Source organism: Homo sapiens, chromosome 8 (genome assembly GCF_000001405.40).
Source record: "Homo sapiens chromosome 8, GRCh38.p14 Primary Assembly".
NCBI lineage: Eukaryota > Metazoa > Chordata > Mammalia > Primates > Hominidae > Homo > Homo sapiens.
Genome location: NC_000008.11, coordinates 23366307 through 23386936, shown reverse-complemented (window position 1 = coordinate 23386936; position 20630 = coordinate 23366307). Strand labels below are relative to the sequence as shown.

Here is a 20630-nt window from a genome sequence, read left to right as displayed (position 1 = left end):
TGACTTATGCCTGCAATCCCAGCACCTTGGGAGGCCTTCCCCTTGCGGACCCTTGCGTGCCTGTGAAAGCCGCATTTATTTGGAGCGTGTGGAGGGAGCTACGGAGATCCTTGGCCTGATTCTCCCATGTTCTGCTGACCCAGTTGGCAGATGCTCTCTGCTTGCATTCAGCGTAGAGGAGGGTCCTGGAATTTCCATGATGTGGACTGAGGTGACTTCACTGGAGCAGATGCTTCTTAGACTGTCAATGTTGAGACACCCTTGGAGGTCTTCCAAGGTGAATGCTGAGAATAGATCTGCCTGTTTTCTAAAAACTCTCCCCACTGTGGTATCTCCACCAGGCTTTTTTATTTCTTTTGTGAAATTAAGATCTCTGAGCAAGGACTAATAGAACAGGTATGGAGAAGAGAAATGTGTCTGCCATATTAGTCTAGATGTCCTCAAATGTCTGGAAGGGTAGATGGAGAACTTACATATTTGTTTATTCTAAGACATCGTAAGAGACACAGAGCACTTATATTTTGTTCTCTTTCTTTCTTTTTTGGAGAGGGAGTCTTGCTCTGTCGCCCAGGCTGTAGTGCAGTGGCATGAGCTCAGCTCACTGCAACCTCCACATTCAGGGTTCAAGCAAGTCTCCTGCCTCAGCCTCCTGAGCAGCTGGGATTACAGGTGTGTGCTACCACGCCCGGCTAATTTTTGTATTTTTTAGTAGAGATGGGATTTCACCATGTTAGCCAGGCTGGTCTCGAACTCCTGACCTCAACAATTAGTGAATAAGGGTGTCTGCTCTGGTATCTGGCTGGCCTGGTTACAAATTCCAGCTTGATCACTTTTTAGCAGTGTGACTATAGGAAAATCATGTAGCCTTTCTGTCTCTCGGTTTTTCCTTAGGAAAATAGGGATGCTGATAATACCTTGCTCAGGGGGTTGTCCAAAGCTGTGTTGTGCAGTATGGCAGCCACCACCATATGGGGCCACCAAACACTTGCAATGTGCTGCTTGGAATTGAGATGCGCTGCAAACGCAAAGTACGTGCTGGATTTCAAAGACTTAGTACAAAAAGAAAAAAGAACGCAAAACATCTCATTAATAATTTTTGTATTGATTCCATATTGAAATATATTGCATCAAATAAAATATATCTTTAACATTGATTTCATCTATTTTATTCTACTTTTGGAAAGTGGCTACGAGGGAATTTAAAATTTCATATGTGGCTCTCATTACGTTTCTGTTGGGCAGTGCTCATCCAGACGAGAGGATGAAATACCTGTCTTAGCACTTCTCACATGCTGATTGATACTGATCAAAATCAGATTGATACTGATTAATGATTAATAAATATAAGTTCTGTTTTACTTTTAAACATCCAACTTTGGCTGGGTGTAGTGGCTCATGCCTGTAATCCCAGCACTTTGGGAGGCTGAGCCGGGCGGATCACTTAAGGTCAGGAGTTCAAGACCAGTCTAGCCAACATGGTGAAACCCCTTCTCTACTGAAAATACCAAAAAAAAAAAAAAAAATTAGCTGGGTGTGGTGGTGTGTGCCTGTAATCCCAGCTACTTGGGAGGCTGAGGCAGGAGAATTGCTTGAACCTGGGACGCAGAGGTTGCAGTAGGCCGAGATCACACCACTGCACTCCAGCCTGGGCAACAGGAGTGAAAAGCTCTGTCTCAAAAAAAAAAAAAAAAAGAAAAAAAATCCAACTTTCTCTTCCACAGAAGCCCACCTTCAACACCAGCCCATGTGGTGTCCAGGTTGCTGTATAAAAGTAGAGGTGATCCTGTTCGAACAGGACGGGGGCGCAGGGAGTGGTAAATAAATACATAAAACAGGCAGAGAATAGGAAAGTCTTTATATCCATAGTTGAAGGAAACTGCTGTGGAATTGCTCCCTCCAGTCTTTGCACGATAAAATTACCAGAACCCCAAAGGTTACAGCAAATTGCCTCTTTGCACCTTCTAATTCACTAATTCACTGTCCATGTTGAATGCTGGGAAAGCTGGAGGCTTTTTGTTTGTTTGTTTTCTTGAGACGGAGTTTCACTCCGTCTGGAATACAATGGTGTAATCTCGGCTCACTGCAACCTCTGCCTCCTGGGTTCCAGCGATTCTCCTGCCTCAGCCTCCCAAGTAGCTGGGATTACAGGCACCTGCCACCATGCCCGGCTAATTTTTGTATTTTTAGTAGCAATGGGGTTTCACCACATTGGCCAGGCTGGTCTTGAACTCCTGACTTCAGGTGATCCGCCCGCCTCGGCCTTCAAAGGGCTGAGATTACAGGCATGAACTACCACGCCCGGCCGCTGGAGCCTTTTAAGTTACTCCCTCCTTCTGCCTTCCTGAGACATCTATTTGGAAATGGACTCAGATAGGGAATGAAGTCTGTCCAACTCCTCGAGCCTCCTGAACCAGCTGCAGGTACTGTTGGAAGTAAGCTGAGTGGACTTCTAGGAGGAGGTGAGACTTGAGGAATTGCCGTTCCCTGTTGGTTCTGCTGAAGTAACTGCAGGTAGCCTGTTCTCCCCTCTGTGTCAGCAACGCTCACTGCCTCAGGCCTTGACAGCCCCTCTGGAGCACCCATGTCCAGCATGTGTTTAGAGGCTCATTTCCTTCAGGGCAAGCAGGTGTGTGCAGCTGAGCTGGCACGTTGCCTTGGAAGTCAGCTGTGCTTCGCTGGGATCATGCCTTGCTCTGCACCTCCTTGGTCCAACCTTATAACCCATAATTCCTGTCTAGACATAAGCCTTGATTATCTGCTAGGGTGAGATTTTCTGATCCCAGATCTTCGTATCCCATAAATTACCTCGACATTTGCCTACTGCCTTTACTATACAAGTGAATTTCAGAGGCAAACAGGTATGTAGGCGAGCTGTTTTGAAGGGCACGGGTCAGGTCCAACTACTCATGAAAAATCCTAACGTTCTTACTTCTAGCCTTGCACAATAGGTAAAATTCATATCTAGAAATTCACATCGGGCCGGGCACGGTGGCTCACGCCTGTAATCCCAGCACTTTGGGAGGCCGAGGCGGGTGGATCACGAGGTCAGCAGATCGAGACCATCCTGGCTAACACGGTGAAACCCCGTCTCTACTAAAAATACAAAAAATTAGCCGGGCGTGGTGGCGGGCGCCTGTAGTCCCAGCTACTCGGGAGGCTGAGGCAGGAGAATGGCGTGAACCCGGGAGGCAGAGCTTGCAGTGAGCCGAGATTGCGCCACTGCACTCCAGCCTGGACGACAGAGCAAGACTCTGTCTCAAAAAAAAAAAAAAAAAAAAACAAAAAAAAAACGTAAAAGTGCCCTCTTAGAAATAACTAATCTATTCCTTAAGCCTTAAATGTCTTAATATGAAAAATGACAAGGAATGAATTTGTTAGCTTGCATTCCAATGTAATTAGGTCAGAGGGAAAGGTAGTATTGATAGGATGTGAATATTGGAATAGAAATTTATATTTATTCACTCGGCCAATATTTACTAAGTATGAAGCACAGAGCTCCACAATCAGGTTCTAGGTTCAAAGGAAGGAAAGAAGCAAATTAACATGACTGATTCGATGCTGTGTGCTAGGGATCTTCACATTATTTCATTTAACCATCATACACACACACACACCCATAAGGTAATTTCTATATTTGGAAGAAGAAATTGAGGCTCTTAATATAGCTAGGAAGTGGGGCAGGCAGGATTCAGACAGCGTGTTCTGATTCCAAGACACCCAACATCACCTCTCTAGGGAAGCCCTGGCGCCAGTAAGTTCCTCAAGGAGGAGGGTTGTGGAGAGGCAAGAGGGCCCACACGATGGAAGACGGGAAGGCCACAGGTCCCACTCTACTAGCCCTTTGACCTAGGCTTATAGGGTCGAGTTTGTTTAAAACCGCTACGGAGAGGCATGTTAGGTACCAGAGGACCACCAGGTCAGATCAGCTGGGTGTGGGTGGAGCAGCCCTGGAGAAGTCAGGGCCCAGAGTAAACACACATGGAATTGAGGGTGGGAGCAGGTGTTTGGGGTGGGTTCAGCCATGCTAATCGGGTACAGTCACCTCCAACAGATGCAGCACGTAGAGAGAATGGTCCACCCCAGAGAAGAGCATCATCAGACAGTCTTGAAAGATCCAGGCAGGAAGCATTACGGAGTTCTAGCAGCAGAATCAGGACCAGGACCACTGATGTTGGAGCAGGGTTTCCAGAGAGAGGGATTCAGGTCCTAGACAGACTGACCAGAGCAGGGCAGAAAGACACAGTTTAGCCCATAATAATAGTCTTGTTCACCTAGGACTTTTAGGACTTCAGTGGTTCTATAAAGGCCCAGAATAGGGCTCCCACCTCCTGGGAAAAAGTGAGGATAAAGTCAGAAAGTTTCTCCTCTGCTTTGCCACTGTGTTCATTCGCTGATTGCACTTTTTTTTTTTTTTTTTTTTGAGATGGAGTCTCGCTCTGTCACCCAGGCTGGAGTACAGTGGCACGATCTTGGCTGACTGCAAGCTTTGCCTCCCGGGTTCAAGCGATTCTCCTGCCTCAAGCCTCCTGAGTAACTGGGACTACAGGCATGTGCCACCATGCCCGGATAATTTTTGTAATTTTAGTAGAGGTGGGGTTTCACCATGTTGGTCAGGCTGGTCTTGAACTCCTGACGTCGTGATCTGCCCGCCTCAGCCTCCCAAAGTGCTGGGATTACAGGTGTGAGCCACTGTGCCTGGCCGCTGATTGCATTTTATCACAGGTCAGAATGTGTCTACTTCACAGAGATAAAAACTGAAAAAGGGGACATGGTTTTCTGGGTGTAATGGAGCCCACTCATTATGGCAACCGAACTATAATTTCAGAACTTCTGCCTGTGCTCATTCCAGCTCCTTTGTGAGCTCTCAGTTGTTTATAAATGACACTGTGGCTGTCTCCAGCATCATCAGCAAGGCTGTGGTTTGCCTGGTCCCCTCTGCTGTCTTTCCCAGAATGAGGGGTCTACTCCGAGCCATGCATCTCCTGTTATTATCCAACCCATTTTGATTAAGCAGCTAACGTGCACCAGGCACTGTGTTAGGCTTGGGGGCCCAGTCAGGTGCCCATTCACCTATAACACCCAGTTACGTGTGAGCAATGTAAGCAGAGAGAGGGGACAACATTGGTGCCCATGGAGCCTGGCATGGCCTCGCCGTCCCCATCCTGACCTGCAGGAGGCAGCGCGGTCACCCAGAAAGCCTGGCAGTGTTTCCTCCCTGAGGTTGGAAGGATACCAATGTGAAAAATGAATCTTACAAAGCAACAAGGGAAAAGCTCAGTAGAAAAAGGGGTATAAGGCAGGGAGACATAATCTCCAAAAAAGAAATACAGGTGGCCAGTAAGCACGGGGCAAGGGAGAGAAAAAGCTCCACCTCCTTAGTAATAAAAAGAATGCTTGTTAAAACAAAATACCCTTTTTTGCTTATCAGATGGAGGAAAGTTTGAAAACATGGTCATAGCCAGAGTTTTTGAGGTTTGGGGGAAACCTACATACTGCTGGTGGAGGTTTCAATTGGCACAGTCTTTCTGGAAGGTGGTTCATATAGTTTTGCAAAAGTGTTGATTTTGTACAAACCCTTTGGCCCAGCAATTTCACTTTTAGGAATTTATACCAAGATTGTGCCAAGTTTCAGCTACAACAATGTTTACAGCAGTAAGAAATTTAGAAACTTGATTATTATGTATCCATAAGATTGAATACTATGTTATAAAAATCTTATGAAAGAATGTTCCATAAAGCATAATGTTTGCAATATGCTGTTCAATGTGAAAAGCAGTTTACAAAGCAATACGTAGAAAATGATTCCAATTTTTAAAAGGAAATGTGTACAAAAAAAAAAAAGACTGGAGAGGTTTACAACACAGTTTTGATCATGGTTACCCGCCCCCCAGTGGTATTACAAGTTATTTTCTTCCTTTTGTTTTATTTTTCTGAGACAGAGTCTCTCTCTGTTTGGAGTACAGTATCACAATCTCGGCTCACTGCAACCTCCGCCTCCCAGGTTCAAGCAATTATTTTGCCTCAGCCTCCCTAGTAGCTGGGATTACAGGCGCTTGCCACCATGCCCAGATAATTTTTGTATTTTTAGTAGAGACAGGGTTTTGTCATGTTGTCCAGGCTGGTCTTTAACTCCTGACCTCAAGCGATTGGCCACCTTAGCCTCCCAAAATGCTGGGATTACAGGCTTGAACCACTGTGCCCAGCCCTTATTTTCTTCCTTTCACTTGTTTGTGTTTTCCAGATTTTTTTTCACCAGCTTGTGTAACTTTCACTATAAAGAACAACAACAACAAAAAAAAACTTTAAGAGTAATTTTTAAAAGAAGAGAAAAGCAGCTGGGTTTAATATGTTACAATCCCCCAGAGGAGGGAGTAGGAGAGGGCCCTACAAAAGAGGCAAAAAATTCAGGAGCGCTGTTCTAGAAAAGATTTAGGAGTTGAACACTAAAGCATTCCCACAGATTGGATAATCCAGGAAAATGGGTAGAGCAGTTTACAGATATACAAATCCACAGATTAAGATGTCTTTTTTTTTTTTTTTTTTTTGAGACGGAGTCTCGCTCTGTCACGAGGCTGGAGTGCAGTGGCATGATCTCACCTCACTGCAACCTCCGCCTCCTGGGTTCAAGCAATTCTCCTGCCTCAGCCTCCTGAGTAGCTGGGACTATAGGCACACGCCACCATGCCCAGCTAATTTTTGTATTTTTAGTAGAGATGGAGTTTCACCATGTTGGCCAGGATGGTCTCGATCTCTTGACCTCGTGATCCGCCTGCCTTGTCCTCCCAAAGTGCTGGGATTACAGGCGTAAGCCAGCACGCCTGGCCTAAGATGTCTTTTAAAACGTTGCGAGGGGGCAATTCCAAGATGGCCAAATAGGAACAGCTTCAGTCTACGTCTGCCAGCGTGAGCAACGCAGAAGATGGGTGATTTCTGCATTTCCAACTGAGGTACTTGGTTCATCTCACTGGGGCTCGTAGGACAGTGGGGTCAGGACAGTGGGTGCAGCCCGCAGAGTGTGAGCCGAAGCAAGGCGAGGCATCCCCTCACCCAGGAAGCGCAAGGGTTCAGGGAATTCCCTTTCCTAGTAAAGGGAAGGGCTGACAGATGGCACCTGGAAAATCATGTCACTCCCACCCTAATACTGCACTTTTCCAATGGTCTTAGCAAACAGCACACCAGCAGATTATATCCCATGCCTGGCTCGGGGGGTCCCACGCCCACGGAGCCTCACTCATTGCTAGCACAGCAGTCTGAGATCGAACTGCAAGGAGGCAGCAAGGCGGCTGGGGGAGGGGCGCCCGCCATTGCTGAGGCTTGAGTAGGTAAACAAAGGGACTGGGAAGCTCGAACTGGGTGCAGCCCACCGCAGCTCAAGGAAGCCTGCCTGCCTCTGTAGACTCCACCTCTGGGGGCAGGGCATGGCCGAACAAAAGGCAGCAGAAACCTCAGCAGACATAAATGTCCCTGTCTGACAGCTTTGAAGAGAGTAGTGGTTCTCCCAGCATGGAGTTTGAGATCTGAGAACAGGAAGACTGCCTCCTCAAGTGGGTCCCTGACCCCCGAGTAGCCTAACTGGGAGGCACCCCCCAGTAGGGGCAGATTGACACCTCACACGGCTGGGTACCCCTCTGAGACGAAGCTTCCAGAGGAACAATCAGGCAGGAACATTTGCTGTTCAGCAATATTCGCTGTTCTGCAGCCTCTGCTGCTGATACCCAGGCAAACAGGGTCTGGAGTGGACCTCCAGCAAACTCCAACAGACCTGCAGCTGAGGGTCCTGACTGTTAGAAGGAAAACTAACAAACATAAAAGTCAACCACACCACAAAACCCCATCTGTATGTCACCATCATCAAGGACCGAAGGTAGATAAAACCACAAAGATGGGGAAAAAACAGAGCAGAAAAGCTGAAAATTCTAAAAACCAGAGCACCTCTCCCCCTCCAAAGGAACACAGCTCCTCGCCAGCAATGGAACAAAGCTGGACAGAGAATGACTGACAAGTTGAGAGAAGAAGGCTTCAGACGATCAAACTACTCCAAGCTAAAGGAGGAATTTCAAACCCAACATAAGCTAAAAACCTTGAAAAAAGATTAGATGAATGGCTAACTAGAATAACCAGTGTAGAGAAGTCCTTAAATGACCTGATGGAGCTGAAAACCATGGCACGAGAACTACGTGACGAATGCACAAGCTTCAGTAGCCGTTTCGATCAACCAGAAGAAAGGGTATCAGTGATTGAAGATCAAATGAATGAAATGAAGCGAGAAGAGAAGTTTAGAGAAAAAAGAGTAAAAAGAAACGAACAAAGCCTCCAAGAAATATGGGACTATGTGAAAAGACCAAAGCTACATCTGATTGGTGTACCTGAAAGTGACGGGGAGAATGGAACCAAGTTGGAAAACACTCTGCAGGATATTATCCAGGAGAACTTCCCCAACCTAGCAGGGCAGGCCAACGTTCAAATTCGGGAAATACAGAGAATGCCACAAAGATACTCCTGGAGAAGAGCAACTCCAAGACACATAATTGTCAGATTCACCAAAGTTGAAATGAAGGAAAAAATGTTAAGGACAGCCAGAGAGAAAGGTCAGGTTACCCACAAAAGGAAACCCATCAGACTAGCAGCAGATCTCTCAGCAGAAACTCTACAAACCAGAAGAGAGTGGGGGCCAATATTCAACATTCTTAAAGAAAAGAATTTTCAACCCAGAATTTCATATCCAGCCAAACTAAGCTTCATAAGTGAAGGAGAAATAAAATCCTTTACAGACAAGCAAATGCTGAGAGATTGTGTCACCACCAGGCCTGCCCTACAAGAGCTCCTGAAGGAAGCACTAAACATGGAAAGGAACAACCAGTACCAGCCACTTCAAAAACATGCCAAATTGTAAAGACCATTGATGCTAGGAAGAAACTACATCAACTAATGAGCAAAATAACCAGCTAACATTATAATGACAGGATCAAATTTACACGTAACAATATTAACCTTAAATGTAAATGGGCTAAATGCTCCAATTAAAAGACACAGACTGGCAAATTGGATAAAGAGTCAAGACCCATCAGTGTGCTGTATTCAGGAGACCCATCTCACGTGCAGAGACACACATAGGCTCACAATAAAGGGATGGAGGAAAATCTACCAAGCAAATGGAAAACAAAAAAAGGCAGGGGTTGCAATCCTAGTCTCTGATAAAACAGACTTTAAACCAACAAAGATCAAAAGAGATAAAGAAGGCCATTACATAATGGTAAAGGGATCAATTCAACAAGAAGAGCTAACTATCTTAAATGTATATGCACCCAATGCAGGAGCACCCAGATTCATAAAGCAAGTCCTTAAAGATCTACAAAGAGACTTAGACTCCCACACAATAATAATGGGAGACTTTAACACCCCACTGTCAACATTAGACAGATCAGTGAGACAGAAAGTTAACAAGGATATCCAGGATTGAACTCAGCTCTGCACCAAGCGGACCTAATAGACATCTACAGAACTCTCCATCCCAAATCAACAGAATATACATTCTTCTCAGCACCACATCGCACTTATTCCAAAATTGACCACATAGTTGGAAGTAAAGCACTCCTCAGTGAATGTGAAAGAACAGAAATTATAACAAACTGTCTCTCAGACCACAGTGCAATCAAACTAGAACTCAGGATTAAGAAACCCACTCAAAACTGCTCAACTACATGGAAACTGAACAACCTGCTCCTGAATGACTACTGGGTACATAACAAAATGAAGGCAGAAATAAAGATGTTCTTTGAAACCAATGAGAACAAAGACACAACATACCAGAATCTCTGGTACACATTTAAAGCAGTGTGTAGAGGGAAATTTATAGCACTAAATGCCCACAAGAGAAAGCAGGAAAGATCTAAAATTGACACCCTAACATCACAATTAAAAGAACTAGAGAAGCAAGAGGAAACACATTCAAAAGCTAGCAGAAGGCAAGAAATAACTAAGATCAGAGCAGAACTGAAGGAGATAGAGACACAAAAAACCCTTCAAAAAATCAATGAATCCAGGAGCTGGTTTTTTGAAAAGATCAACAAAATTGATAGACTGCTAGCAAGACTAATAAAGAAGAAAAGAGAGAAGAATCAAACAAATGCAATAAAAAATGATAAAGGGGATATCGCCACTGATCCCACAGAAATACAAACAACCATCAGAGAATACTATAAACACCTCTATGCAAATAAACTAGAAAATCTAGAAGAAATGGATAAATTCCTGGACACATACACTCTCCCAAGACTAAACCAGGAAGAAGTTGAATCCCTGAATAGACCAATAACAGGCTCTGAAATTGAGGCAATAATTAATAGCCTACCAACCAAAAAAAGGCCAGGACCAGACAGATTCGCAGCCGAATTCTACCAGAGGTACAAGGAGGAGCTGGTACCATTCCTTCTGAAACTATTCCAATCAATAGAAAAAGAGGGAATCCTCCCTAACTCATTTTATGAGGCCAGCATCATCCTGATACCAAAGCCTGGCAGAGACACAACAAAAAAAGAGAATTTTAGACCAATATCCCTGATGAATATCGATGCAAAAATCCTCAATAAAATACTGACAAACTGAACCCAGCAGCACATCAAAAAGCTTATCCACCATGATCAAGTGGGCTTCATCCCTGGGATGCAAGGCTGGTTCAACATATGCAAATCAGTAAACGTAATCCAGCATCTAAACAGAACCAAAGACAAAAACCACATGATTATCTCAATAGAAGCAGAAAAGGCCTTTGACAAAATTCAACAGCCCTTCATGCTAAAAATTCTCAATAAATTAGGTATCGATTAGACGTATCTTAAAATAATAAGAGCTATTCATGACAAACCCACAGCCCATATCATATTGAATGGGCAAAAACTGGAAGCATTCCCTTTGAAAACTGGCACAAGACAGGGATGCCCTCTCTCACCACTCCTATTCAACATAGTGTTGGAAGTTCTGGCCAGGGCAATCAGGCAGGAGAAAAAAATAAAGGGTATTCAATTAGGAAAAAAGGAAGTCAAATTATCCCTGTTTGCAGGTGACATGATTTTATATTTAGAAAACCCCATCGTCTCAGCCCAAAATCTCCTTAAGCTGATAAGCAACTTCAGCAAAGTCTCAGGATACAAAATCAGTGTGCAAATATCACAAGCATTCTTACACACCAATAACAGAGAGCCAAATCATGAGTGAACTCCCATTCACAATTGCTTCAAAGAGAATAAAATACCTAGTAATCCATCTTGCAAGGGATGTAAAGGACCTCTTCAAGGAGAACTACAAACCACTGCTCAAGGAAATAAAAGAGGATACAAACAAATGGAAGAACATTCCATGCTCATGGATAGGAAGAATCAATAACGTGAAAATGGCCATACTGCCCAAGGTAATTTATAGATTCAATGCCATCCCCATCAAGCTACCAATGACTTTCTTCACAGAATTGGAAAAAACTACTTTAAAGTTCATATGGAACCAAAAAAGAGCCTGCATTGCCAAGTCAATCCTAAGCCAAAAGAACAAAGCTGGAGGCATCAAGCTACCTGACTTCAAACTATACTACAAGGCTACAGTAACCAAAACAGCATGGTACTGGTACCAAAACAGAGATATAGACCAGTGGAACAGAACAGAGCCCTCAGAAATAATACCATACATCTACAACCATCCGATCTTTAACAAACCTGACAAAAACAAGAAATGGGGAAAGGATTCCCTATTTAATAAATGGTGCTGGGAAAACTGGCTAGCCATATGTAGAAAGCTGAAACTGGATCCCTTCGTTACACCTTATACAAAAATTAATTCAAGATGGATTAAAGACTTAAATGTTAGACCTAAAACCATAAAAACCCTAGAAGAAAACCTAGGCAGTACCATTCAGGACACAGGCATGAGCAAGGACTTCATGTCTAAAACTCCAAAAGCAATGGCAACAAAAGCCAAAATTAACAAATGGGATCTAATTAAACTAAAGAGCTTCTGCACAGCAAAAGAAACTACCATCAGAGTGAACAGGCAACCTACAAAATGGGAGAAAATTTTTGCAATCTACTCATCTGACAAAGGGCTAATATCCAGAATCTACAAAGAACTCAAATTTACAAGAAAATAAAAACAATCCCATCAAAAAGTAGGTGAAGGATATGAACAGACACTTCTCAAAAGAAGACATTTATGCAGCCAACAGACACATGAATAAATGCTCATCATTACTGGCCATCAGAGAAATGCAAATCAAAACCACAATGAGATACCATCTCACACCAGTTAGAATGGCAATCATTCAAAAGTCAGGAAACAACAGGTGCTGGAGAGGATGTGGAGAGATAGGAACACTTTTACACTGTTGGTGGGACTGTAAACTAGTTCAACCATTGTGGAAGACAGTGTGGCGATTCCTCAAGGATCTAGAACTAGAAATACCATTTGACCCAGCCATCCCATTACTGGGTATATACCCAAAGGATTATAAATCAGGCTGCTGTAAAGGCGCATGCACACATATGTTTATTGCGGCACTATTCACAATAGCAAAGACTTGGAACCAACCCAAATGTTCATCAAAGATAGACTGGATTAAGAAAATGTGGCACATATACACCATGGAATACTATGCAGCCATAAAAAAGGATGAGTTCATGTCCTTTTTAGGGACATGGATGAAGCTGGAAACCATCATTCTCAGCAAACTATTGCAAGAACAAAAAACCAAACACCACATGTTGTCACTCATAGGTGGGAATTGAACAATGAGAACACTTGGACACAGGAAGGGGAACATCACACACCGGGGCCTGTTGTGGGGTGGGGGGAGGGGGGAGGGAAAGCATTAGGAGATATACCCAATGTAAATGACGAGTAAACGGGTGCAGCACACCAACATGGCACATGTATACATATGTAACAAACCTGCATGTTGTGCACATGTACCCTAGAACTTACAGTATAAAAAAAGAAATGTTGCAAGACCACATATTTTTTTCATTTCTTTCTGGGACAGGATTAGAGGATCTGGAAGTCTCTGAAGCCCTTGGGGGATGGGGGTGGGAAAGTCAGGGGAGGGAGAGAGACAGTGCCAGGCTGGGGGTAGTAGAGCTTCGCGGTGGGGGACAGAGCCCAGGTCAGCCTGCCACCACCTTCAGATCCTGGCTTGCATTTACCGTCTGCGCAACTTTAGGCAAGTTATCAAACTTCTCTGTCCCTCAGTTTCCTCCCAAGGATAATAACAGTGCCTACCACATCAAGTGAATTAAAACACTAGAGCGTTGAGAACAGTGCCTGCACATGGGGGTGCTCTATTAATGTTAGCTGCTTGCCAAGCACTCTGTGTGACCTTTGGCAATTCATTGGCTTTCTGTCTTTAATTTCCACAAGATGGATACATTTAAAAATTAAAAAGCAACCCAAAAACTTAGCTAGGCATGGTGGCTCTTGCCTGTAGTTCCAGCTACACGGGCAGCTGAGTAGGAGGATCTCTTGGGCTCAAGAGTTCGAGGCTGCGGTGAGCTATGATCACGCCACTGCACTTCAGCCTGGGTGACACGGCAAGACCCTGCCAGGCAGTGTAGAAGAGGAAAACCTTCCTGAATTCAAAGTTAGGCCCCCCCTCCGCTGGCTCAGGTAGTTCAGACCATGAACAATCATTGATACCTTGTAGGCGAACTCCAGCTAGGCAGTCAGCTCCATGGGAAAGAAGACCTCTACTCCCAGCAGGGCCTGAGGTATAGTAGGAGCTCAATGAATTCTTGTTGAATGAATAAATCAATTTAGTACTGTGAGCTGGATGGAGATGCATGATAATAGATTTCCTCATCCAACATTCCCAAATATTTGGGGATTTTCTACTTGTTCTTTTATTAATGGTTTATAGCTGAATTCTGTTGTAGTCAAACAACATATTCTGCATAATATCATTGTATCTTAATATCTTAATATGTTTGTATCATTATATGTTCCATGTGTCCCTGGAGCATAGCTGCCTTCTGCAGTTGCTGAGTACAGTTTATAGAAACTTGTGAATTAGGTTAAGTTTGTTAATTATGTCATTCACATCTTCAACCCCAGGATTTTTCTGTGTCTTCTATCCGTTACTGACAGAGGTGTGTAAAAATCTCCCACTCTGATTATGAATTTGTCTATTTTTTCCTTTTAGTTCTATCAATATTTCTTTTATATATATTGAAGCTATGCACGTACGTTTAGAAGAGTTACATTATCCTGGTGGATTGACTTTCATTATCGTAAACTGTCCCTTTTTGTCTCTGGTAATGTTTCTTGTGTTAAGGTCAGCTTGATCGTACAAGTTTCCCTCTGGTTAATGTACGCATGGTATATCTGTTTCCATCCTTTTACATTAAGCCTCTGTGTCTCTTCTAAGAAATATAAAGCTGGATTGGGCTGGGCGTGGTGGCTCACACCTGTAATCCCAGCACTTTGGGAGGCTGAGGCGGATGGATCACTTGAGGTCAGGGGTTTGAGACCAGCCTGGCCAACATGGTGAAACCCCATCTCTACTCAAAATACAAAAATTGGCCAGGCGTGGTGGTACATGCCTGGAATCCCAGCTACTCGAGGGGCTAAGGCAGGAGAATCGCTTGAACCCAGGAGGCAGTGGTTGCAGTGAGCTGAGATCGCGCCACTGCACACTCCAGCCTGGGCAACAGAGCAAGACTCCATCTCAAAAAAAAAAAAGAAAAAGAAATGTAAAGCTGAATTGTTTTGTTATATTCGTTCTGATGATCTTTGTCTTTTAATTGGAGTATTTATTTTATCTAATGTAATTACTGATATATTGGAGTTTAAACCCACCATCTAATATTTTTTCTATTTGTAACAATTGTTTTATGTTACTTTTTATTTGTTTTATTGCTTCAATTTTGGATTAATCAAGTATTTTTTAATTCTACCATTTCTCCCCCAAACCCCCTTATTAACCTGTTAGTTGTACTTTTCTTTCAGTATATGGTTCTTACAATGATTCCTATAAAGATTACAACATGCATTTATTAGACTTGCTAAAGTCTAATAGACAATAGTACTTTTACCACTTCCCAGACAACACAAGAACCTCAAACCACTTGAGCTCCATTTAATGCCTTCCTGCCTTTCGTGCTGCGCTTGCCATGCATTTTTTTTTTTTTTTTTTTTTTTTTTTTTTTTTTGAGACAGACTCTCACTCTTTCGCCCAGGCTGGAGTGCAGTGGCGTGACCTCGGCTCACTGCAACCTCCACCTCCTGGGTTCACGCCATTCTCCTGCCTCAGCCTCCCGAGTAGCTGGGACTACAGGTGCCCGCCACCATGCCCGGCTAATTTTTTGTATTTTTAGTAGAGACGGGGTTTCACCGTGTTAGCCGGGATGGGCTTGATCTCCTGACCTTGTGATCCGCCCGCCTCAGCCTCCCAAAGTGCTGGGATTACAGGCGTGAGCCACTGCACCCAGCCAGTTGCCATGCATTTTAATCATACATGTATTTTAAACCCCACAGGACATTCTTCCTGTTTTACACACTCGATCTTCATTGAGATTTACCTACATCATTTCCTACTTCATACTCTTCATTCCTTCCTACGCCTCCTTACTGACATCTGGGATGATTTTTCCTTTTGCCTGAAGAATTCCCTGTAGTATTTCCGTCTTGTGGGTATTCTGGTGACAGACTCGCTCCTCTTTTGTTTATCTGGGATGTCCTTATTTTACCTTCGTTCTCTTCACTGGGCACAGATTCTAGGCAGACTTATTTTTTTCCGCCCTTTGAAAATGTTGCGCTGTTGAAGTCTTGTCTCCTTATTTGTGTTGAGGGGACCAGCTGTTAGTCTTTCTGCTGCTCTTTCTAAGGTAACTCAGCTCCTCTACCCTGTGTTTAAGATTTTTCTTTCTATCTTGTCTTCTCTGCAGTTGGATTTCGATGTGCCCAGATGTGGTTTTCCTTGTAAACTATACTGTGTGGGCTTGATGTCTTTTGTCATTCTGGAAAATTCTAGGCCATTATTTCTTCCATTATTTCCTCTGCACATCCTTTCTCTCCTCTTCTTTGGGATTCCATTTATGGGAATGTCAGACCTTCCTATGCCCTGGCTTCTAGAGTGCAGCTCTTCAGGAATGCATCTGAGAGCCTGGAGCTGTTTAACAGGTCCCTTTGTCCTTGGCAGGTTCTGAACTCCCGGTCTCCCCAGTCCCTGGAGGCTGCCTGCAGCTTTGCTTAGCTTCTCAGCCTGTTGATCACTGCCGTGGAATTGGCGAGTATCTTCCGGGGGAAAGCAGAGACAAAAGTGAGCCTCACCTCAATGCCCTTCCCATCTCTCTGGATTCTTGGTTCCTTCAGTCCTTGGTGCCTCGGTAGCTTTCTCGTGTCTTCGAACATATGTTTTTAATATTTTACCTTCCTTTTCTAGTTGTTCTTGGCAGGTAGCTTTATCTACTGCAAGGTAGCCTGATACATCCAGAGGCAGATGTGTTGCTGAGCAGAAATGACAAAGAGGTGGTTTCTGTCCCTTGGGCCTGAGGGTCCGGTGGCAGAGCCAGACATGACAACAATGTAAAGCACCAGCAAAATGTGATGTCAAAGGGAAGCAGAAATACATTCAATCTGATAGGAGGACCTAGGAAGGTCTCTGTGAAGAACAGGAAGGATTGCACCAGGTGCCATTTGGAGGGGAGGGGAGGGGATGGAGGCGCGTTGTTCTAGGTGTCAAAAGCTGAAGCTGGTATAGGCTGATATGATGGGATGTGTGCCATGGGCAGGGCTGGGGTGAGAGAAGGGAGACACCGTCGTGGGAACCGAAGCAGGGAAGGTAGGCACGTGCCACACATAAAGGCTTTTGTATCCAAGCTGAACCAGGACTTTTTATATGGGATGGCACATTGGGAGTGACCCATTCTGGCTTTGCTTGCAGTAACTGTGCAACTCTGGCAAAATCTCTAACCCTCTCTGGTTCTTGATTTTGTTGTAAAATAAGAATCCTAATAATACCTGCCTCTTCTACTCCCCAAGGTTCTTGTGAGGCATAGGTAAGCTTGAGGATGCAGATGTGCTTTGATGGGAATGATGAGTGGCCAGGACCCTGATTCCCTTCAGAGCCACACTACTAGGGGGTCAGGCTGTGCGTTGGTCCGTTGGTCAGGAGCTATCACAGGAACCCTCCATCACTTTCTGGCCTTGTTTGTTAGTCACAGGATGAGCATGGCTGGCTCTCCGGTGACATCAGAAAGCTTTCCAAAATCCTCAGTTCTGACTGTCCCCCAGGCTCTAACATCTCCACCCCAGCATCCTCTTCGGGGCACTGAGCACTGCTGGTCACCCAACAGACATGGAACTGCCTCACTCCAAGGCAGATCATCCCTCCATGGGCAGCTCTGGACAGCTCTGACTACAGGAAAGTTAGCCAGTCCTTCCTCAAAGGTAGTGTGCCATGACCAGAAGAATATGATTAGCCTACTCCTCTGCATAGGGTTAAAATAAAATACCTTATGCCCCCACCTAAGCTTCCACCTGCTCATCCTGGTTTGGGGCCCTGCATGTTTCTCCACAAGACACACGTGTGCTCCTTTTAAAATCGTCTCCTCTTTTCTCTGAATTACGGGAGGACCAAGATACACGAGGTCTCTTGCTACATGATTTCACTCGGGAATTCTTAGAGGTAGGCTCCACCAGATACGATGACCAGGACCTTGAGGATTTTAAAACTCATTTAGCATTGCAGCCCTCAAAGCTGACGGGAAAATTATAATTCATCTAGCAAATGTTCCTGTAGTGTTTTGGGGTGCCATTCATTTAATGGAGGGTGGGTGTGTTGAACATCCTGCCCTCACCCCTTCAGACCCGCTCCTTCTCCACCGGCCCCCATGTTCCAGGAGGCTGTCCCACACGGGCTCCCTCAATGGGCTCAGCTCCCTTGCCAGTGGCTTCGAGTTGAAGGGGGCTGGGTTTGCCTAATAGGAGGCACCAGAATGATTCAAAGACGGGAGGAAAGGGAGTCAGGTATTTATTCTCCCTCCCATGTCCCCGCCGTTGCCATGGGTTGGCTCTGAGACCCTCCAGTGAGGGCCACAGCTCCTAAGAGACAGCTCCCTCTGCCAGTCTCCAGTTCTCACCCCCGCAGGCTCCCTTCAAGCCTAGGGTGGTCACAGCCCCCTCTGAGTCGCCAGCCCTAGGGTGTGACACCGGCCTTTGTTAGTTCTGCAGAACTCTGCCGGCATGTCCGTAGTCTTAAAAAACTCTCCTTAAATTAAGTTGGAGTGTGTTCTGTTCCCTGCCAGGAACTCTACTGGAAAAAGCATTCTAGAGAGATGACAAGGCAGTAGGTAAAGGAGGTGGGACCTCCCAGCCCTGCATGGTGGAAATGTAGGAGTGGGGCTGGATTGGCGTCGAGAATGGACGAGCTTTCCATATTAAGCCAAGGGGTATGAAATCGCTGGTTCTCTATGTAGGTCTCCGTAGCCCCACGTTCCCATCCTAACGCATCTCTCCTCTCTTCCAGAAAGCTCCTGCTGCTTCTGTACCCCGCCTGTCCCTCCCAGCTGCGCAGGGCCCCTTCGTGGGATCATCAGCCCGAAGACAGGGATGGAGAGGCCTCTGTGCTCCCACCTCTGCAGCTGCCTGGCTATGCTGGCCCTCCTGTCCCCCCTGAGCCTGGCACAGTATGACAGCTGGCCCCATTACCCCGAGTACTTCCAGCAACCGGCTCCTGAGTATCACCAGCCCCAGGCCCCCGCCAACGTGGCCAAGATTCAGCTGCGCCTGGCTGGGCAGAAGAGGAAGCACAGCGAGGGCCGGGTGGAGGTGTACTATGATGGCCAGTGGGGCACCGTGTGCGATGACGACTTCTCCATCCACGCTGCCCACGTCGTCTGCCGGGAGCTGGGCTACGTGGAGGCCAAGTCCTGGACTGCCAGCTCCTCCTACGGCAAGGGAGAAGGTAAACGCTCTGTGCTTTGGATCTGAGTGCTGTCACCTGGCAAGGCCCGGAGTGGCCTTCCCTGAGGTCAGCCTGGGAGAGGAGGCTGCACGCACTGCGAAGTGTAAATTCTTGGTGATGCCCATCCAGGGACTGGCATCCTTCTGTGCCCACTCAGGCTGCACCCTGCAGGAAGGCGGGGTCGGGGGGCTTGAGGAGGGGCACAGTAAGTGACCAACCATACTGATTTGCCCAAGACTTTCCTGGCTTTAGCACAGAAAGTCTCACATCCTGGGAAAACCTCAGGAAAACCAGGACAGTTGGTGACCCCAGGTAGGGGGTGAAATCGGCCTGTGCTCCTCTCTCCGCCCCATATGCCCTGCCTGGGGGCTGCGTCAGCCCAGAGGAAGTTGCGCTTTACTCCAAATCGTTCCCTGTTAGGAAAGCCTCTTGCTCTTCCTCACAATGGCTCCCACATGCTGGAGCTCCCTGACGCCCCCCACCTTCCTGGCATGTGGAGTTCATCGTTTTCACACTAACCTGCTATTGTGGGCTTGGTCACAATAGGCACACAGATGCTTTGGGTTTTTCACCGTTGGTTAGCCTATTCTTTCCTCCCTTGTGAGGTTCAAATTTATTAGTTTATTTTTAAAAATTGTTTTAAGAGCTGGCCAGGCGCAGTGGCTCATACCTGTAATCCCAGCACTTTGGGAGACGGAGGCGGGATGATCACTTGAGGTCAGGAGTTCGAGACCAGCCTGGCCAACATGGGGAAACCCCATCTCTACTAAAAATACAAAAATTAGCCGGGCATGGTGGCGAGTGTCTGTAGTCCCAGCTACTCAGGAGGCTAAGGCACAAAAATCGCTTGAACCCGGGAGGCGGAGGCTGCAGTGAGCCGTGATCGCGCCACTGCACTCCAGCCTGGGTGACAGAGCGAGACTCCATCTCAAAAAAACAAAAAACAAAACAAAAACCCAAAAAATTGCTTTAACAGCTTTGAGGCAGGACAAAGTTTGAAGCCCTGAACCTAGAGCTCAGTCTGTACTGACCTCTGACACCACACTTTGTAGGAAGACGCATGTCCTCTCCAGCCTCATTTTCCCCATCTGGAAGTTGGGCTAAGAACCCCTGAAACCCTGACAGTGTATGTTCCCAAATAGGAAAGAGATAAGGGTGGAGGGAATTGTTTCTTTTTAAACATTTTTCCAGGAGCTAAGAGTTTCCTATCTCTGGGTCAGCCAGGCAAAGGAAGCTCCCACACCCTCCCGCCCGGCTGAGCTGCAGCCCAGACCTCAGCACAAGTCTGGCTACTGGACTAAAGCAGAGCTGCCTATACTCCTGTCCTGGACTAAAGGGCTAATGCCATGCTGACTGCGTAAGAATCGCCCAAGGGAGCTTAAAAGTACAGAATAGCGCAGACCTCAACCCACCATAATCTAGTTTAAAAGGTCTGGGCTGGAGCCCAGGACTCTGTCTCTTTTGGAAGTCTGCAAAGTGACAGGTTTGGGAGTCATTGAAATTGATAACTGTTATCCTCCCTTCCAACTTTTCTGTTATTCTAGAAATTATAGGAGAAAGGAAGTCCCATCTCATACACATCTCACCTCCATGCAATTGAAAATTTCCTTTTGGGGTAACTGGATCAGGAGACAGCACAGAGTCAAATGTTCTCTGCAGCTTGCTCTGGGCGATGAGAGCCACAGCAGTG

The 20630-nt window shown here is 45.7% G+C and overlaps 1 protein-coding gene across 1 annotated transcript in view, besides 3 other annotated features; it reads left to right on the top strand.

Annotated features, from left to right (window-relative positions):
• Nucleotides 1–20630, top strand: part of LOXL2 (lysyl oxidase like 2) — a 107224-nt gene that overhangs the window by 17184 nt on the left and 69410 nt on the right. The window contains exon 2 of the mRNA NM_002318.3: nt 18503–18940. Coding sequence (NP_002309.1) covers nt 18586–18940 — 355 coding nt within the window. The 5' untranslated portion in view covers nt 18503–18585. The remainder of the gene's footprint in view (nt 1–18502; nt 18941–20630) is intronic.
• Nucleotides 5047–5341: a silencer, noted in NCBI's record as "tiled region #9444; K562 Repressive non-DNase unmatched - State 20:ReprD". NCBI's record gives its function as "represses a minimal TATA promoter and a strong SV40 promoter by Sharpr-MPRA in K562 cells {active_cell/tissue: K562}" and the evidence as "EXISTENCE:reporter gene assay evidence [ECO:0000049][PMID:27701403]".
• Nucleotides 6635–7225: an enhancer, noted in NCBI's record as "H3K4me1 hESC enhancer chr8:23237225-23237815 (GRCh37/hg19 assembly coordinates)". NCBI's record gives its function as "activates a minimal SCP1, AML or CMV promoter by ChIP-STARR-seq in primed H9 embryonic stem cells {active_cell/tissue: H9 hESC(primed)}" and the evidence as "EXISTENCE:reporter gene assay evidence [ECO:0000049][PMID:30033119]".
• Nucleotides 7226–7818: an enhancer, noted in NCBI's record as "H3K4me1 hESC enhancer chr8:23236632-23237224 (GRCh37/hg19 assembly coordinates)". NCBI's record gives its function as "activates a minimal SCP1, AML or CMV promoter by ChIP-STARR-seq in primed H9 embryonic stem cells {active_cell/tissue: H9 hESC(primed)}" and the evidence as "EXISTENCE:reporter gene assay evidence [ECO:0000049][PMID:30033119]".